The sequence below is a fragment of the Homo sapiens genome, chromosome 9 (assembly GCF_000001405.40).
Source record: "Homo sapiens chromosome 9, GRCh38.p14 Primary Assembly".
In the NCBI taxonomy this organism is placed as follows: Eukaryota; Metazoa; Chordata; class Mammalia; order Primates; family Hominidae; genus Homo; species Homo sapiens.
The window spans coordinates 130,126,441-130,140,326 of record NC_000009.12 but is presented as its reverse complement, the minus strand read 5'-3'; the positions used below and the strand labels follow the sequence as shown (position 1 = coordinate 130,140,326).

Below are 13,886 nucleotides of genomic sequence, written 5' to 3'. Positions count from 1 at the left end.
CCTGGAACTTCTCTAGTAGGTGTCACTATTGTCAGTAGGAGCTGGTGGGAGGCAGTTAACTAATTTAATGAACAAAAATCACAAAGAAAAAAATTATGAGATGGAGGTGGAGGAGAGACAGCACCAGGAGCCGGCAACTCCCTGCATCTCAAACACACACGGTTCTGCCAGATAATCTTTATTTTACACATTTGCAACACGGCAAGAGAATTCACCCCGTACATCACCATGATCGGATCCCCCACCCATTATACGTTGTATGTTTACATAAATACTCTTCAATGATCATTAGTGTTTTAAAAAAAATACTGAAAACTCCTTCTGCATCCCAATCTCTAACCAGGAAAGCAAATGCTATTTACAGACCTGCAAGCCCTCCCTCAAACGAAACTATTTCTGGATTAAATATGTCTGACTTCTTTTGAGGTCACACGACTAGGCAAATGCAATTTACGATCTGCAAAAGCTGTTTGAAGAGTCAAAGCCCCCATGTGAACACGATTTCTGGACCCTGTAACAGTATCTTACGTGCTCCAAAGGCTGACCTTCTGGAGGCTCACCGCCTCATCTGGCTGCTTCCTCCAAAATCCAAAACCTTGCCTCAAAATAAGCTGTCCTGTGGGTGAGTTGGCTGTTCTGTTTCATTCTGACCATTCTGACTCTGCCCAGAACGCCGTCCCACCTGCAGACACCCTGCTGCCAGAACTCCAACAGGTCCCCGAGGTAGCGAGGCCAAGCCATGCCCATTCACTCCTGCACCATCTCAGTGTGCTCCCTCACACAGGGCCTGAGATGTGTGGGGCCCATGGCCTGGCAGTGAACCATCTAAAAGCATTATCTATTTTTCAAGCATAAACCACGCAGAGAGGCTCAGATGCATCGCTGGGCTACAGAAGTGGCCTCTGGGGAATCTGGAGTATGTTCAGCCTGCCGACCGATAACTACGTTCCAGGTGGTGACAAGTATTAGCGTCAACTCAGGTAGATGCCTTTTAAAAACGCCCTGCCAGAAACACCCTAGGGAAAACTGGAGTGAAGAGCGGGTCTTTCAGAACATTTGGTACTTTCTGGATGAATATCTTTTTGATATACCAAGAGGCATCAAGTCAAAGTCTCACTTCTATAGCGAGGAAGCCATTAACTTGCTGAATCCTAAAGGGAAGAATCAAGCCGCAGGCCACAGGCATCCTGGACTTAGCTTACGTGAGTCTTACAAGGCCAGGGGCGGGTCAGAGAAAAGCAGCGGGGTGAAGTGTGGAGTGTGGAAGCAGGGGTGCAGCAGTGTGCTAGATCTGTTTCCTTTGAAGTACAGCAGCTTGGCAGCATGAAGCATGAGTTGTTCCACTGTTCTACTGGGTGTATGGAGCTGGGCCAACAACCTCAGCAGACTATCTAATGTTCTAAGAGCCTTCCTCAAAGAAAATGTTTCAGGACGGGGGAGAAGGCCAGAATGCATCTGCAATTCCAACAGGCATCGCTATGCTCTTCCTTGGTCTGTAAGGACTGGATGCCTGGAGTAGACTGTTTTAAGTACCAAAACAAGACACCCATTTTAGTGTGGAGGAAGACCAGCCTATATGGCCCAGAGCAATAATATTTGGCATGAGTATGCCACTCTTGAGAAAATTCTCCTTAGCTTAGAAAATGCATCTTTCACACAGCTGCTGGGAGAAAACGCTGCAATGCACCAAAGCCTTTAGCCGGTGTACCCAGAATGAGCCTATGTGGGATCAATAGGCACGGGGAGAAAGATGGCAGAGAAGGGAAGAGGAGGGAGGAGGAGGGAAGGAGGAGGAGAAAGAGGTGGAGGAGGGAGGAGGAGCGGAAGGGGAAGGGGGAGGGGTAAGGGCGAGGGCAGAGGAGGAGGGGGAGGGGATGGGGAAGGGGGAAGGGCGAGGGCAGAGGAGGAGAGAAGAGGGAGGGAGGCTGTGGAATGAGACAGCAGAGATGGCGATGAGGTCATCACGCAGGAGGAAATCTCACCCACACGAGGTGGACTTACAGGGCTGTGTGCTGCCTGGGCAGGCTGGACATGTCCAGGGCGGGGAAACCCTGGATATTTCACTCTGAAGTGGTTTCTTGAAAGAAAACTCAACTGACTCAGGCCATGAGCATCTTTTACACTGAAGCAAGCATCTCCTCACAAGTGCCTCCTACAAGTCACTAGAGTCATATTCAACATTACAAAATGCAGTGCTACTTAAATTTTAAAGCACTGAGGGACCAAGAAATGGGCTGATCAAGTCCTTGGCCACTCACTGTTAAGAGCCAGGATTTACAGATCAATGACTGTTCCTATTGTCCAAGAAATAATTTTCTAGCAAAGCATACACACTTTATTAAATTTCACAGCCAGCAGCGCTTTCAGTCCACAACAGATTTCTCAGAGGAAACATGGATATTTTGCGTAGGCAGAAACAGTGAGGAGTACAAAGCAAAGCTATAAATACCACCAATGGTTCTGCTATGTGCATCCGATATTTTTTGCCCGATCTGAAATACTGCAAGGGCTTAACCATTCAAACACCGCATGACAACGAACCCAGTGGACTGTGAAACTCAGGCTGCAGGAGGGTGGCTTGTCAGCTGGTGAAGCCACTTGGCTTTGGACTCCATCGGTCATCTTTACGCAAGAGCAGAGATGAACGGTGGGTCACGGCTATGACGTGAAGGAGAAAGAGAAGACACACTCACAGAACAGGATGGAGAGCTTCAATAATTTTTTAAAAGCTTGGAACCACCACCTGCTTTCCCAATCTTGGGCTGGGGTTTTGACTTTTCTTGATCATCAATCTGACTTGAAGCCTTTTACCAGTTACAATACAGACATGGCCAGATGACCTGCTTGTTAGGAAGGCTGTGGCCATCTTTGTTTCTGAAACAGTCTTATCTCATCTGTCCACTGCTGCTCTGGAAGGGTCAGGACCAGCACTGCAGACACTCGGCCATGCTGTGAGTGAGCCCAGACATACGCGTGGAATCTGAACACCCAACGCTGGCGTTCCCGTGCCAGTCTGAGGGCTGCGGCTCCAGCGCTTGTCCACACACACGCCTGCCTCTCTCTAGTTCCTCCACTGCCTGGCTTCCTCGCTTGCAAAACCCAGCATGTGAAATGAGGACACCTCCACGGAGACCCTTCCGAGCAGGGAGGTTTCATCACACCTTTCGTTCTTGCCAAGGAGTCTATCGCCTCATCCACAACATCTGCTTGCGGGAGAAACAGCAAATGTGTCCCTCTGAGGGAAGGACTGAGGAGGGCTTTGGTAGTCACAGATTGAGACACATTTCTGCGAAAACTGGTATTATGTTTCTGCACAGGAAAACAAAGTGTTAAAAATATTCCCATCCTCCCTCCAACTCCCTTCTGTCACACAGTCCCAAGTGAACTTGAAAAAGGTCCAGAAGTGAACACTTAGGGTGCATTTACCTTTCTCCTGAAGATGGGAAGACACACGGATGCTTGCCTAAAATATCTGCCGAGAGGTGAGCAGCTGTGGCCTGGGAAGGCGCTTGCTCTTCCTCCACATCAGCCAGAAGGCAGATCACACCTTCAGAGCACCCTACAGAACCCAGATGGCGAATCAAAGTGCAGAAAAAGAACACCCGCTTCCTCATTAGTCATTTAGGAAGATAAGATAGCATGGGACAGGGAGAACAACCATGTTCTGAATGGAGACTTTTTCAGGTTCCCAAACTTGGGACAGTGAGTGTGACCCCACATCCTGTGGTTTCTGCCTGACCCTTCTAAGCCAGAGGTGAGAAAACAACTCCCAGAGACCACGACTCTCACCCTCGGAGGTACCTGTTCCCCTGCAGGTGTGGCTCTCTGACAACCCCTAGGCAGGGGTGGGCTCCAGCTTTTGGAAGCAACCCTACCTAGCTGGCCCCCCAAGCATTAAGAAGCTTCCCTGATGGGGCCATGTTTTGGTCTCCTTTTAAGCCCTCAGTCACAATGTACCTTCTGAGCTTGTCCTACTATTCAGATGATTTTCTCTCTGAGTTGCAATACTGCTCAATTTAGGTGGCTACCTGTGTTCATTCAAGCTCTGGAAGTGTGGAAGGGAACTTAATCATTGAGTTTCTGTGAAGTATTTTGCCATCCTAAAATCCCTGAGAGTGAAACTGTTGAATCATGCTCACTTTCTTCACATACATACTCTTGGACTATGGGGACCAAGTCTGTTGAATTCATCTATTTAGAAATCCTACTAGCCTACAGGAAAAGCTTTTTAATGGGGATGATTTGCTTGGACTTAAGTATTTGCTTAAATACTACCTATTCTGCCCCCAGCTGCTCCTTGAGGAAAACTTTCCATTTCCCCCAAAATTCTGATCAAACACAACAAAGCCACAAGCATGAAGGGAAGCCAGACAGTGCTGCTCTGGGCTGTCAGGGAGTGGATGTCCAGGCAACGCCACAGGATAATGCTTTTTGAACTTAAAAATACATTTCTTTCCATCCATCAGGCAACATCTCAGTCAGAAAACCACCTCCCACCACCTGTGCTGTGCCACAGGGCATGATCCTGACAGCGACATCACAGCCTTCTTTTCCTGTTGGAAAGAAGACCACTGGGCCTCAGGAGCTGCTGTCCTGGTCACTCTCAGCATCTGGAATAAGGGTCTGGGGCAAAGCCGAGGGCAGGAATCCTGGGGCAGGTGCTACATCCTAAACTGGGTTTTGACTTTGCTTTCCAAAGTCACCTGTTTTCGTTCATTTTTGTCTCCCAAACAGGCAATGGCACTCTCCCCGCCCTTCTTCTTAAGTCCCAGGGTCCTCAGTAGACATTTCCTAAAGCATCAGACAGACACCTCGCACCCTCCTTCCCCCTCCACCAGCCGTCCTTGCTACACTTCCCCACACATGGGGTCACAACTGCATACACCTTAGAGCTCCGAAATGAAGAAGAAAAAAAGAAACCTAAATTAAAAATGAATTCTTCCTTTTCTCTTCCTCTCCTCCTCCCTGTGCCCGCCCTCCCATTCCCGCCTGAAAGAGGATCCAGCTGCCTCTAAACAGCCACAGATCGTTTCCATAAAAGAGAGTACAAAATCAGGTTTCCGCGGCACTGTGCTCCAGCCATGTGCCCTGGTGTCACTGTCGGTGGTGCCAATAGTTCACTGTAGGAGCTGCTCCTGCTGTCCAATAGGACTATGAATAAGTTAACAGTTTCCTTGGACAGTGCCATCCTCAGGGTCGGCTCTGTCACACGGCGCCTTCCCACTCGCCCTGGGGCTCCACGGAGCCGTTGGTCACCTTCTTGACTTTCTTCATACTTTCCATCACCCCAGATGTTGTCACACTGAACAAGGAAAGAAAAAACAATTAGGAACATCTCACAGTCTCTTAGTAAAAGGCCATCTCTGCCACAGCACGGTGATTAGGACTGATGATGGGTGTTGGTTTTTGAAACAGACAAAATCTAAGTGTGATTCCTGGTTCGTTCCTTACTAGCTGTGTAACCTTGGCCAAGTCACTTGAACTCTCTGTGCTTAAGTAATTCTCACTTTCCAGAACTGTCATGAGGAAAAATGAGATTCTCCAGAGTGCCTAATCAATAAACACCAGCTATCGTTATCACAATCATCATGAATCTTTTTGTCACAGCTTGCGGAATTTTTGTGGCGCACAGATATGTGATAGTTACGCTTATGAGACTGAAATCTGACTCTTAATGGACATTCAGAAAAGAAAGCTAATTAGCCAACCAGACATTTTTAATAAGCAGCCACAATGGATCATTTCTGAGCCAGGGGACAGAACCACAGGTTTAGAGGAACCTTCCAGGATCAAAGATTCTTTGGCCACTATAGACAGAGAACTGGCTGCTTTCTGCTAGCTGGGGCTGGGCCATGTGGCTGTGCCTCAGCGCATGGCCTCTGCCTCCACTCTGTGAGCTCCCGGGGCTCTGTCTGTTGGTGCCTGGCTCTGAGGAGGCCCCATGGAGCCATTCGTTGAAATCAAGGATTAAAAATGGAAGATCGCTGGTCTCGCAGGGCATGAGGAGCTGAGCAAGGCAGCCCTTTCCATTAGAAGGAATCACATGCACGGGCCCCACCTTCTCAAGAGGATAATCTCTTGCCTCACAGAAGGTGAGCTGGTCTATGAGGGAACTGGGTGGCTCTGTGAGTAGCAGAACTAGGCAGAGATACTGGGTGTCAAAAGCCGCTTGGCCCAGCATCTTCCCTGCAAGCGAGGAAACAATGAGGATTTATGCTCCCCCATGGTGGACCAAAAGAAATTTCCTCATCAGTAAAATAAATTCAATCAATCAACTCAACAGGCTCTTTCCAAGGACCCAACCCATCCCTCTGCCAACTACCTAACCCCTTCCCCTACAAATGGCAACACAGTGGCCGTATATGTGACCCATCTAGAGTGCATGCAGCTGGACCTCATGGTAAGTAAATGTTTGTATGGGGTAAGGGAAGAAAACTTCCCCCTCTTCTTCATCTCTTCATTCTTGCCATTATGGTGCTACCATGCCCAGGCTCAAAGAATCCCCCAAGCCGGAACCTTTCTCAAACGAGTCCTTTAGACTCACAGGTTATTTGTACTTATGGCAAAGTTGGGACAAGGTATGTGGCCAGATCCCATAGATGCTATAAGTGACTCTAAAAGCATCCCCTAAGACGAAAATGCCTCAGCTGAAGCCGCCCAGCGTCACTTCTGGCCAGCTGGCTTGTGTCTCAGGCCTGGCCTCTTTAGGAAGACACTTGCCCCAGGAGGGATCCATGTGCACAGGGCTGCTCCTGAAGGGACCTTCTCTAGACGGGGATGCAGGAGGTAGGGCCTTTGCATGAGCCAGAGAAGCCCCTGCCCCGAGCCACGTAGCAGCCCCCGTGCCTCTCCACAGTGACTGAGACCACAAAGAAATGCGACCCCACGTCTTCCAGAAACACTCCAGTAATCACACAGCTGTCCTATGGTTACTGCATCTTGTTAAAAAAGGACAAAGAGTTCAATGCACGTTGATTCTAAGAGGCAAAGCGCATTCACTGTGACCCGGATATGGGCCTGACGGCAGACTTGGGAAAAACATTTTCTCCCTTTCTTTCTCTAAGAAAATACTCCTTTCCACATGGTGGGCCAAGTGAGAAAACAACTTTTATTCTTCAAGACAGGCCTCATGCTAGGTCATCAAGGAAAAAGAAGTGGTCTTATTGCTCTTCGGAGCCCACAGCCCAGGAGAAGAGATGGTCTTCCACAGCAACCCTGCAAAGCCACTTCCAACAGAGACAGGAGTGCTGGGAACCGGGTTCGGTGATGGCTCGGGCTGAGAAGAATCCCTCTGCCGGGGAATCGGGGAAGCCAGGAAGCCCGTCATGAGATGCAGAGGATCTGGCCCACAAGATGGGTGGGAGGTCAGGGGAGTTTCCAAAAAGAAGAAATATAACAGGCAAAAAGCATGAAGGAAAAACCCAGGACATTTCCCAGGGCAGTGAGGGAGTGCTAAGTACTTGCAGTGTGTGGATTGTATATGTGTATATATATATAAATATATAAAAATATATATATATTTTTTTTTTATTTGATTTTTTGAGATGAAGTCTCGCTCTGTCACCCAGGCTGGAGTGCAGTGGCGCCATCTCGACTCACTGCAACCTCCGTCTCCTGGGTTCAAGTGATTCTCGTGCCTCAACCTCCCAAGTACCTGGATTATAGGTACATGTCCCCATGCCCAGCTAACTTTTGTATTTTTGGTAGAGATGTGGTTTCACCATGTTGGCGAGACTGGTCTCAAACTCCTGACCTCAGGTGATCCACCTGCCTCGGCCTCCCAAAGTGCTGGGATTACAGGCGTGAGCCACTGCACCTGGCCTACGGCAAATATATTTTAATACATCCAGCCAGTCTGGGAAGGAGAGTGGCAGGGAGAGAACCAGGGTGGACACAGGACGGCAGGGTTGTCGAGGGCCCAGTCTGCCTGGTCACCCAAGGATGGCCTTGATTCCTACTCTGGCAGTTCTCAGCCCTGCCTCCTGCTCAGGCTGCCCTGGGGAGTGAGAAAAGCACAGATCCTGAGCCCAAGGGGTGAGAATCAGAGTCTCCAGGGGTGCGGCCAGGAAACTGGCACTGCAAAAACACTCTACAGGTGATTCTAGAGCCCGGGAGAATGGACAGGAAGGGCTGGGCACACCTGTATTCCCAGGGCAGCTCACGCCTGCATTCCCAGCACTTTGGGCGGCTGAGGCGGGAGGACTGCTTAAGCCCAGCAATTTGAGACCAGCCTGGGCAACATGGCAAAACCCTATCTCTACAAAAAAATACAAAAACATTAGCTGGGCATGGTGGCATTCATCTGTGGTCCCAGCTATTAAGGAGGCTGAGGTGAAAGGATTGCCTGAGCCCGGGGAGCTCAAGCCTGCAGTGAGCTGTGATAGTGCCACTGCACTCCAGCCTGGGTGACAGAGTGAGACCCTGTCTGCAGGGGAATAGAAGGATGGACAGGAAGGGGAGAGGATCGGGAGTGAAGAGGTCAGCCACCACAAAGCCCAGGCACGAGAGCAAGAGGCGGGGTGGGGCTGGGGGTGAGAGGCACAAAGTAAGGCCTACAGGACGCTCTGCACGGGCTGAGGAAGAGGGACGTGGTTCAGCCATGGCTGCAGGAGACTGGGTGGATGTCCGTGTCACCAAGGCCTATAGGGAACAATGGGGAGGGGCGAGCTTGGTGTGATGCAGGAAGACTGTGGCTTCAAGGCTGAGGTGACGCGGAGCAGGAGGACAGGGGGACCTGGCATTCAGGAGGGGCCGGGGGCAGTGAGGGGGTAGCAGGGGCAACCCTGGGCTTGGGTGAGTCCTGGGAGTGCGAAGAGGGAGAACGGGAGTAAGGGTGTGTGGTAGCGCAGGAGGTTGTCACAGGCAGGGCGGGTGACAGGGAGCTTCAGTGTGTGGCCAGGACTGGGAGTGGCAGAAGTGAACTCAAGGAGAGGAAGAAACCTGATGGCAGATGCCCAGGGTGGGGTAGGCGCTACATCCTGTTCCCCCAGCAAACCTCTGGGAAGCTGAAGGGACACCTGGGGCCCCCACGATGTGAGGAAACCTGGCTAGCCCCCTGCAGACAGGGCGCCCGCAACGGTCCTGGAAGCTCAGGCTCTGCAGCAGTGAGAAGAGAGACCTGGGTCAGATGAACACCCAAAAGCCTCCCTGGCAGGAACATACGGCGGTGGGGCTTCAGCAGCTTCGCAGCCACCTCACTAGGTGTCCTAGTTTTGGTGCAAACACTTAAGGGACCGAACAGCTGAAGGGCCAACATCCGACCGCCGCAGATAAGCGTTCTTTCCTTGACATCTAAACAGTAACCCCCTTTCCTTGCAAAGCCCCAAGTCTCTGTGTTTGCAACCAAAAGTGCCAAATGGGACACAGGTTCCTTCTGCCACACAAGACTGCAATCAAATGTGGCTTGGGCCTAAGTGGTCCACGGATTCATGCGTTTTTTTTTTTTTTTTCTTTTTTGAGACGGAGTTTCACTCTCATCGCCCAGGCTCGAGTGCAGTGGCGTGATCTCAGCACACTGCAACCTCCGCCTTCCGATTTCAAGAGATTCTCCTGCTTCAGCCTCCCGAGTAGCTGGGATTACAGGTGCCTGCCACCACGCCCAGCTAATTTTTGTATTTTTAGTAGAGATGGGGTTTCACCATGTTGGCCAGGCTGGTCTCGAACTCCTGACCTCGTGATCTGCCTGCCTCGGCCTCCTAAAGTGCTGGGATTATAGGCATGAGCCACTGCACCCAGCCGATATATCCATTTCTATAACTAAAAAGTGTTTTCTGGTCTGGAAGTGTGGGGAGACCTGGTGAAGAGACAAGTCTATTAGTCCCCAATCCCCATTTCCACACACGTTCCTCGCCCACATGAAATAATGCAGGGAGTGGTGAAAGGTGAACAGCAACCATGAATGAGGACAGCGTTCTGGAATGGGAACCCCAGGGAGAAAACCTCCTGGCCCAGGAACCCACACCAAACATTTCCTTCCACTCTCACTCCTCAAGATGACAGAAGTAATTCAGATCATTGAGGATACCCACAGCCTAGGAGGCAGCTACCAAGTCTGATAATTGAAATCGCATCCGATACTTTTTAACTTGCTGATTATTGACCGGTAACTTCTGTTGCCAAAACTGGTAGGCCTAAAGAGAGATGGTCAAAGAAACAGAAGGGGAAAGAGAGAGAAAGTCAGTGTTACTTTGGACTGTGCCCTCATACCCAGGCCCAGAGAGAGAAGCTGTGTCAGGCCTGGTGGGGTAATGGCTGCACAGAGGGCAGCTGCGTGGGCCGCGTTGTCAAAGAAGCACCAAAACAAAATTTTAAAAAAATTGTTGCCACGAAACAAAAATACCTTCATAATGCATCCAGGCTCCAAGATGTAACGGCTGAGGGAAAGGATGTGGGAAGCGGGAACCTCCCATTACGACTGTGGAGTACAATGCAGTAAAGGAGACGATGCTGCGACCCGGCCGCTCGGCTTCTAGCTGCCTACCCAAAGAACCCCGTGTTATGCGGACGGACCAAGCCAAAGGCTCCCAGCAGGGGAATGATAAACACACCGCGTCTTAGGTTATTTCCTGATGCTGCTGGTTGCCAGCCTGACATGTGTGCCTCTTCAACCAACAGACACTTGCTCAGATCCTGCCACTTCTGGGAAAGGCACAGCTGATGGGCCTCCTGCACTCCTCTCCACTGTTTAGAAGGAGGTGTTTCTTCCTCTGCATGGGGAGATGCTGTTTGGCGCCCGCTGGCAGGACCTGCCTTCCTTTACTGTTGCCGTGGAGCTGAGCAGAGAGAGCTGTCCCATGCTGCCTGACCCGCTGACAGCCAAGCAGAGCTTAGCATGGGCCGAGTCTCAGCCTCTGAATTGGGAAGAATTCAAAGGCTGCCAGGGCTGGGGGCAGAACACTTGATACCAGTGAACCAAGAAGGGAAAACTCTGCCTTAGGCTAATCATCAAACACAGCATTGACCTGGCTTATCAAATTTCAGTTAACAAGCAAATATGCTTAATCACTACTCATTTTTCTAGACAATGATGGCCCTTTCCCAGAAAATAGGACCCTAGAGTCATTCACTGTGTGACTCAGAAAAGCCCCTATTAGTGCTCAGATATAGGTCAAAGTCATTGTGCTGTGAAAAGCCACGCAGTTATCTGACGATAGAGGATGTCTGAGGATCATTAGCAGACTTAGAGATGACTCAGAAGATTCCATTTTCAGACGTAAGCGCCTGATGGCGGGCCTGACAGAAAGTCGGCCCCCTGTTCTCCCTCGTGAACTGGCCACGTATATTCCTAAGTTCTTGCCACTGAGTTCTTGAAAGCAGGCTCCAATGATGCTTAGTGGAACGGCAAGTTCCATCTTCCCTGACAAGACCCAGCTAGGTTTGGCAGATACTGTACTTCAAACCAGATCAGACAGCCTGGGGCTCCAGTGTCCGCTTCCTTCTGCTAAAAATAGAGGAACCACCCCTGCAGCCACGAAATGCTGAGAGCAGCCGACCCGATTCACACTGTGCTGCTTTGTGTTAGGCAAAGGGGTCAGGGCTAAGGAAGAGGGAAGAAAGATTTCTTACACGGACTCCATTTCCAAGTCTTCTTCTTCCTGAGAAAGTTGTAGGTAGGGGTTATCTGAAGCCGGACGGAATTTATACCCCGTTAGAACAAAGAAGACCAGTGTGGCCGTTTCATCCAGGAGCTGCAAGTTTAAAAACCACCCCAAAATAAAGAGATTAGCAACACTGTTCTTCAGAAAGCAGTGGAATTCAACAAACTGACATATTTCCCCACAACCCACCACTCGATGGTTCTTTACTCAGATGCCACTTCCTGCTACAGGGCATTTTCCTTAGACTTGCCGAGGCCTAAACGAGGAGTGTCCTGCCCAGGGCTGACATTTCCGAGGCTGTGCTCTGCTGTGCTTTCACCAGTCTTCATGGGTAGCTTTTAAGAGCTCACCACATACCCACTTCCTCCCACAGTGCCTACAGCACCCAGTGAGTTATTCAAGAAAAAAGTCATTTGGTGGCTTCCTCTAGTAGTTAAGCTAGTTCTAGTTTGTCGCAAAGATACTTATTATCGAAATAATAAAATGGGCAAAGAAGAAGGGCAGCCTGAATTCTAACTACTCAGCCCTGTAACTAAAGGAAAGGACCACATCTCATCTAAGTTCTAATGATTCAGGGCAAATCTTTCTCTACCTGAAGCTTTTCTCTTGACTTTTAAGACTGAAAACTAAAATCAAGAATGCAATTATTTTCAGATTCCTCATAGAATCCAGCAGCATTTCTGGACAAACAGATCATCTCAATTATAGGCCAGAAGAGATGGAAGGAGGCCAAGTGTGGTGGCTCACACCTGTAATCCCAGAACACTGGGAGGCCAAGGTGGGCGGATCACTTGAGATCAGGTGTTTGAGACCAGCCTGGCCAACACTGCAAAGCCCCATCTCTACTAAAAAAACAAAAATTAACTGGGCATGGTGGTGCATCCCTATAATCCCAGCTACTCAGGAGGCTGAGGCAGGAGAATCGCTTGAACCCGGGAGGTGGAGGTTGCAGTGAGCTGAGATTGCGCCACTGCACTCCAGCCTGGGTGACAGAGTGAGACCCTGTCTCAAAAACTAAAAAAAAAATTTTTAGTTAAAAAAAAGAAGAGATGGAAGGTCTTAGTGGTCATTCCCAGATAAATTAGTAACAACTGTTAAGTTACACTTCAAGACTTTATCCTCAGGCATAAATTCTCTGGCATTCTGCCCTGTGAGCAGCGTACCTGGTAGAGCCACTTCCACTGGAATGGAACAGCGAGTTTGAGGAGAAATGCAATGATCCTAGTGAAGTATATGTAACACACAATCTGCATGAGGAGGAAAGAAACAGGAAATCAGATCAACATTAAAATTAGGACACCACTTTAACAATTTGCTTTCACAAATGAACTAGGAAACAGAAAACAGAATCACTCAAAGAAAAGTATGTGACACTTACAGTGTGAATTAATACGTGCAGCGGAGAGACATGGCTACTCTGCTAGTTACACTTGAATTTCTTCTCTCTCTCCAGGTGACCAAGATATTGCTAACAGCCACACCCACCGGGAGCACAAGACACTTTAGTCAGGTTGTTCTTAACCCTTCCTCACCCTATCCACAGACATAAGCCCTTGATTTCAATCTCCAAAGATTTTATTTCTTATGCTCAGGCTTTGAGGAATATTTACCAGTAGTAATAGCAAAATAAAGCCACACAGGGAAATTACTGACTTCTGTCCTCTTCTCTGGCAGATGCTGCAAGCATTCGAGGTCCACACTCACAGAAGTACAAATACTACCAAGTTCTCTAGCAAGACAGGATGCCTTCATTTCTCCTTGCAGTGACAAAGACTCAATGTGCTGGCCACTAGAGCATGGCCTGTGCAAGGGGACTAAGCTCAGCTGGCCTGCTGGTCAAGGACCACTCATTATCACTGCATGCAACAAGAGAGGTTCTGTGATGACCTGTGCCTATTTGGTGGATGACATAAAATCCATGGGAAAGAAAAAATAAAACAAAGAAAGAAAAAAAAAATCAACCCCAAGTGGAGTGTCTGCTCTTGCATCTCTCTCTACCACTGAAGTCTGATGTTTGCTTGAGCAAAGGAACTGTCTGAAGTGACAATGCCAAACGAACAGATGAAAGACTTGGAAACAGGGCCGGGCGCGATGGCTCACGCCTATAATCCCAGCACTTTGGGAGGCCGAGGTGGGTGGATCACCTGAGGTCAGGAGTTCGAGACCAGCCTGACCAACACGGAGAAAACCCGTCTCTACTAAAAATACAAAATTAGCCAGGCGTGGCATGGTGGCGCATGACTGTAATCCCAGCTACTCGGGAGGCTGAGGCAAGAGAATCGCTTGAAC

General features: G+C 49.4%; 1 protein-coding gene across 6 annotated transcripts in view, besides 1 other annotated feature; it reads right to left on the bottom strand.

The window, feature by feature from the left end:
* Window positions 1–162: 162 nt before the first annotated feature.
* Window positions 163–13,886, bottom strand: part of GPR107 (G protein-coupled receptor 107) — an 86,259-nt gene continuing 72,535 nt past the window's right edge. For 3 of the 6 annotated variants that reach the window (NM_001136557.2, NM_001136558.2, NM_020960.5), the window contains 3 exons: window positions 12,761–12,844; window positions 11,566–11,687; window positions 163–5,302 (listed from right to left, as the gene is read on the bottom strand). In NM_001136557.2, coding sequence (NP_001130029.1) covers window positions 5,206–5,302; window positions 11,566–11,687; window positions 12,761–12,844 — 303 coding nt within the window. In that variant the 3' untranslated portion in view covers window positions 163–5,205. Of the gene's footprint in view, window positions 5,303–8,402; window positions 10,131–10,302; window positions 11,688–12,760; window positions 12,845–13,886 lie in introns of those variants that run through there. The other 3 variants (XR_007061336.1, NM_001287346.2, XM_017014953.3) reach the window with 3 other exon arrangements.
* Window positions 11,150–11,369: an enhancer, noted in NCBI's record as "active region_29149". NCBI's record gives its function as "activates an Ori minimal core promoter by ATAC-STARR-seq in GM12878 lymphoblastoid cells {active_cell/tissue: GM12878}" and the evidence as "EXISTENCE:reporter gene assay evidence [ECO:0000049][PMID:35858748]".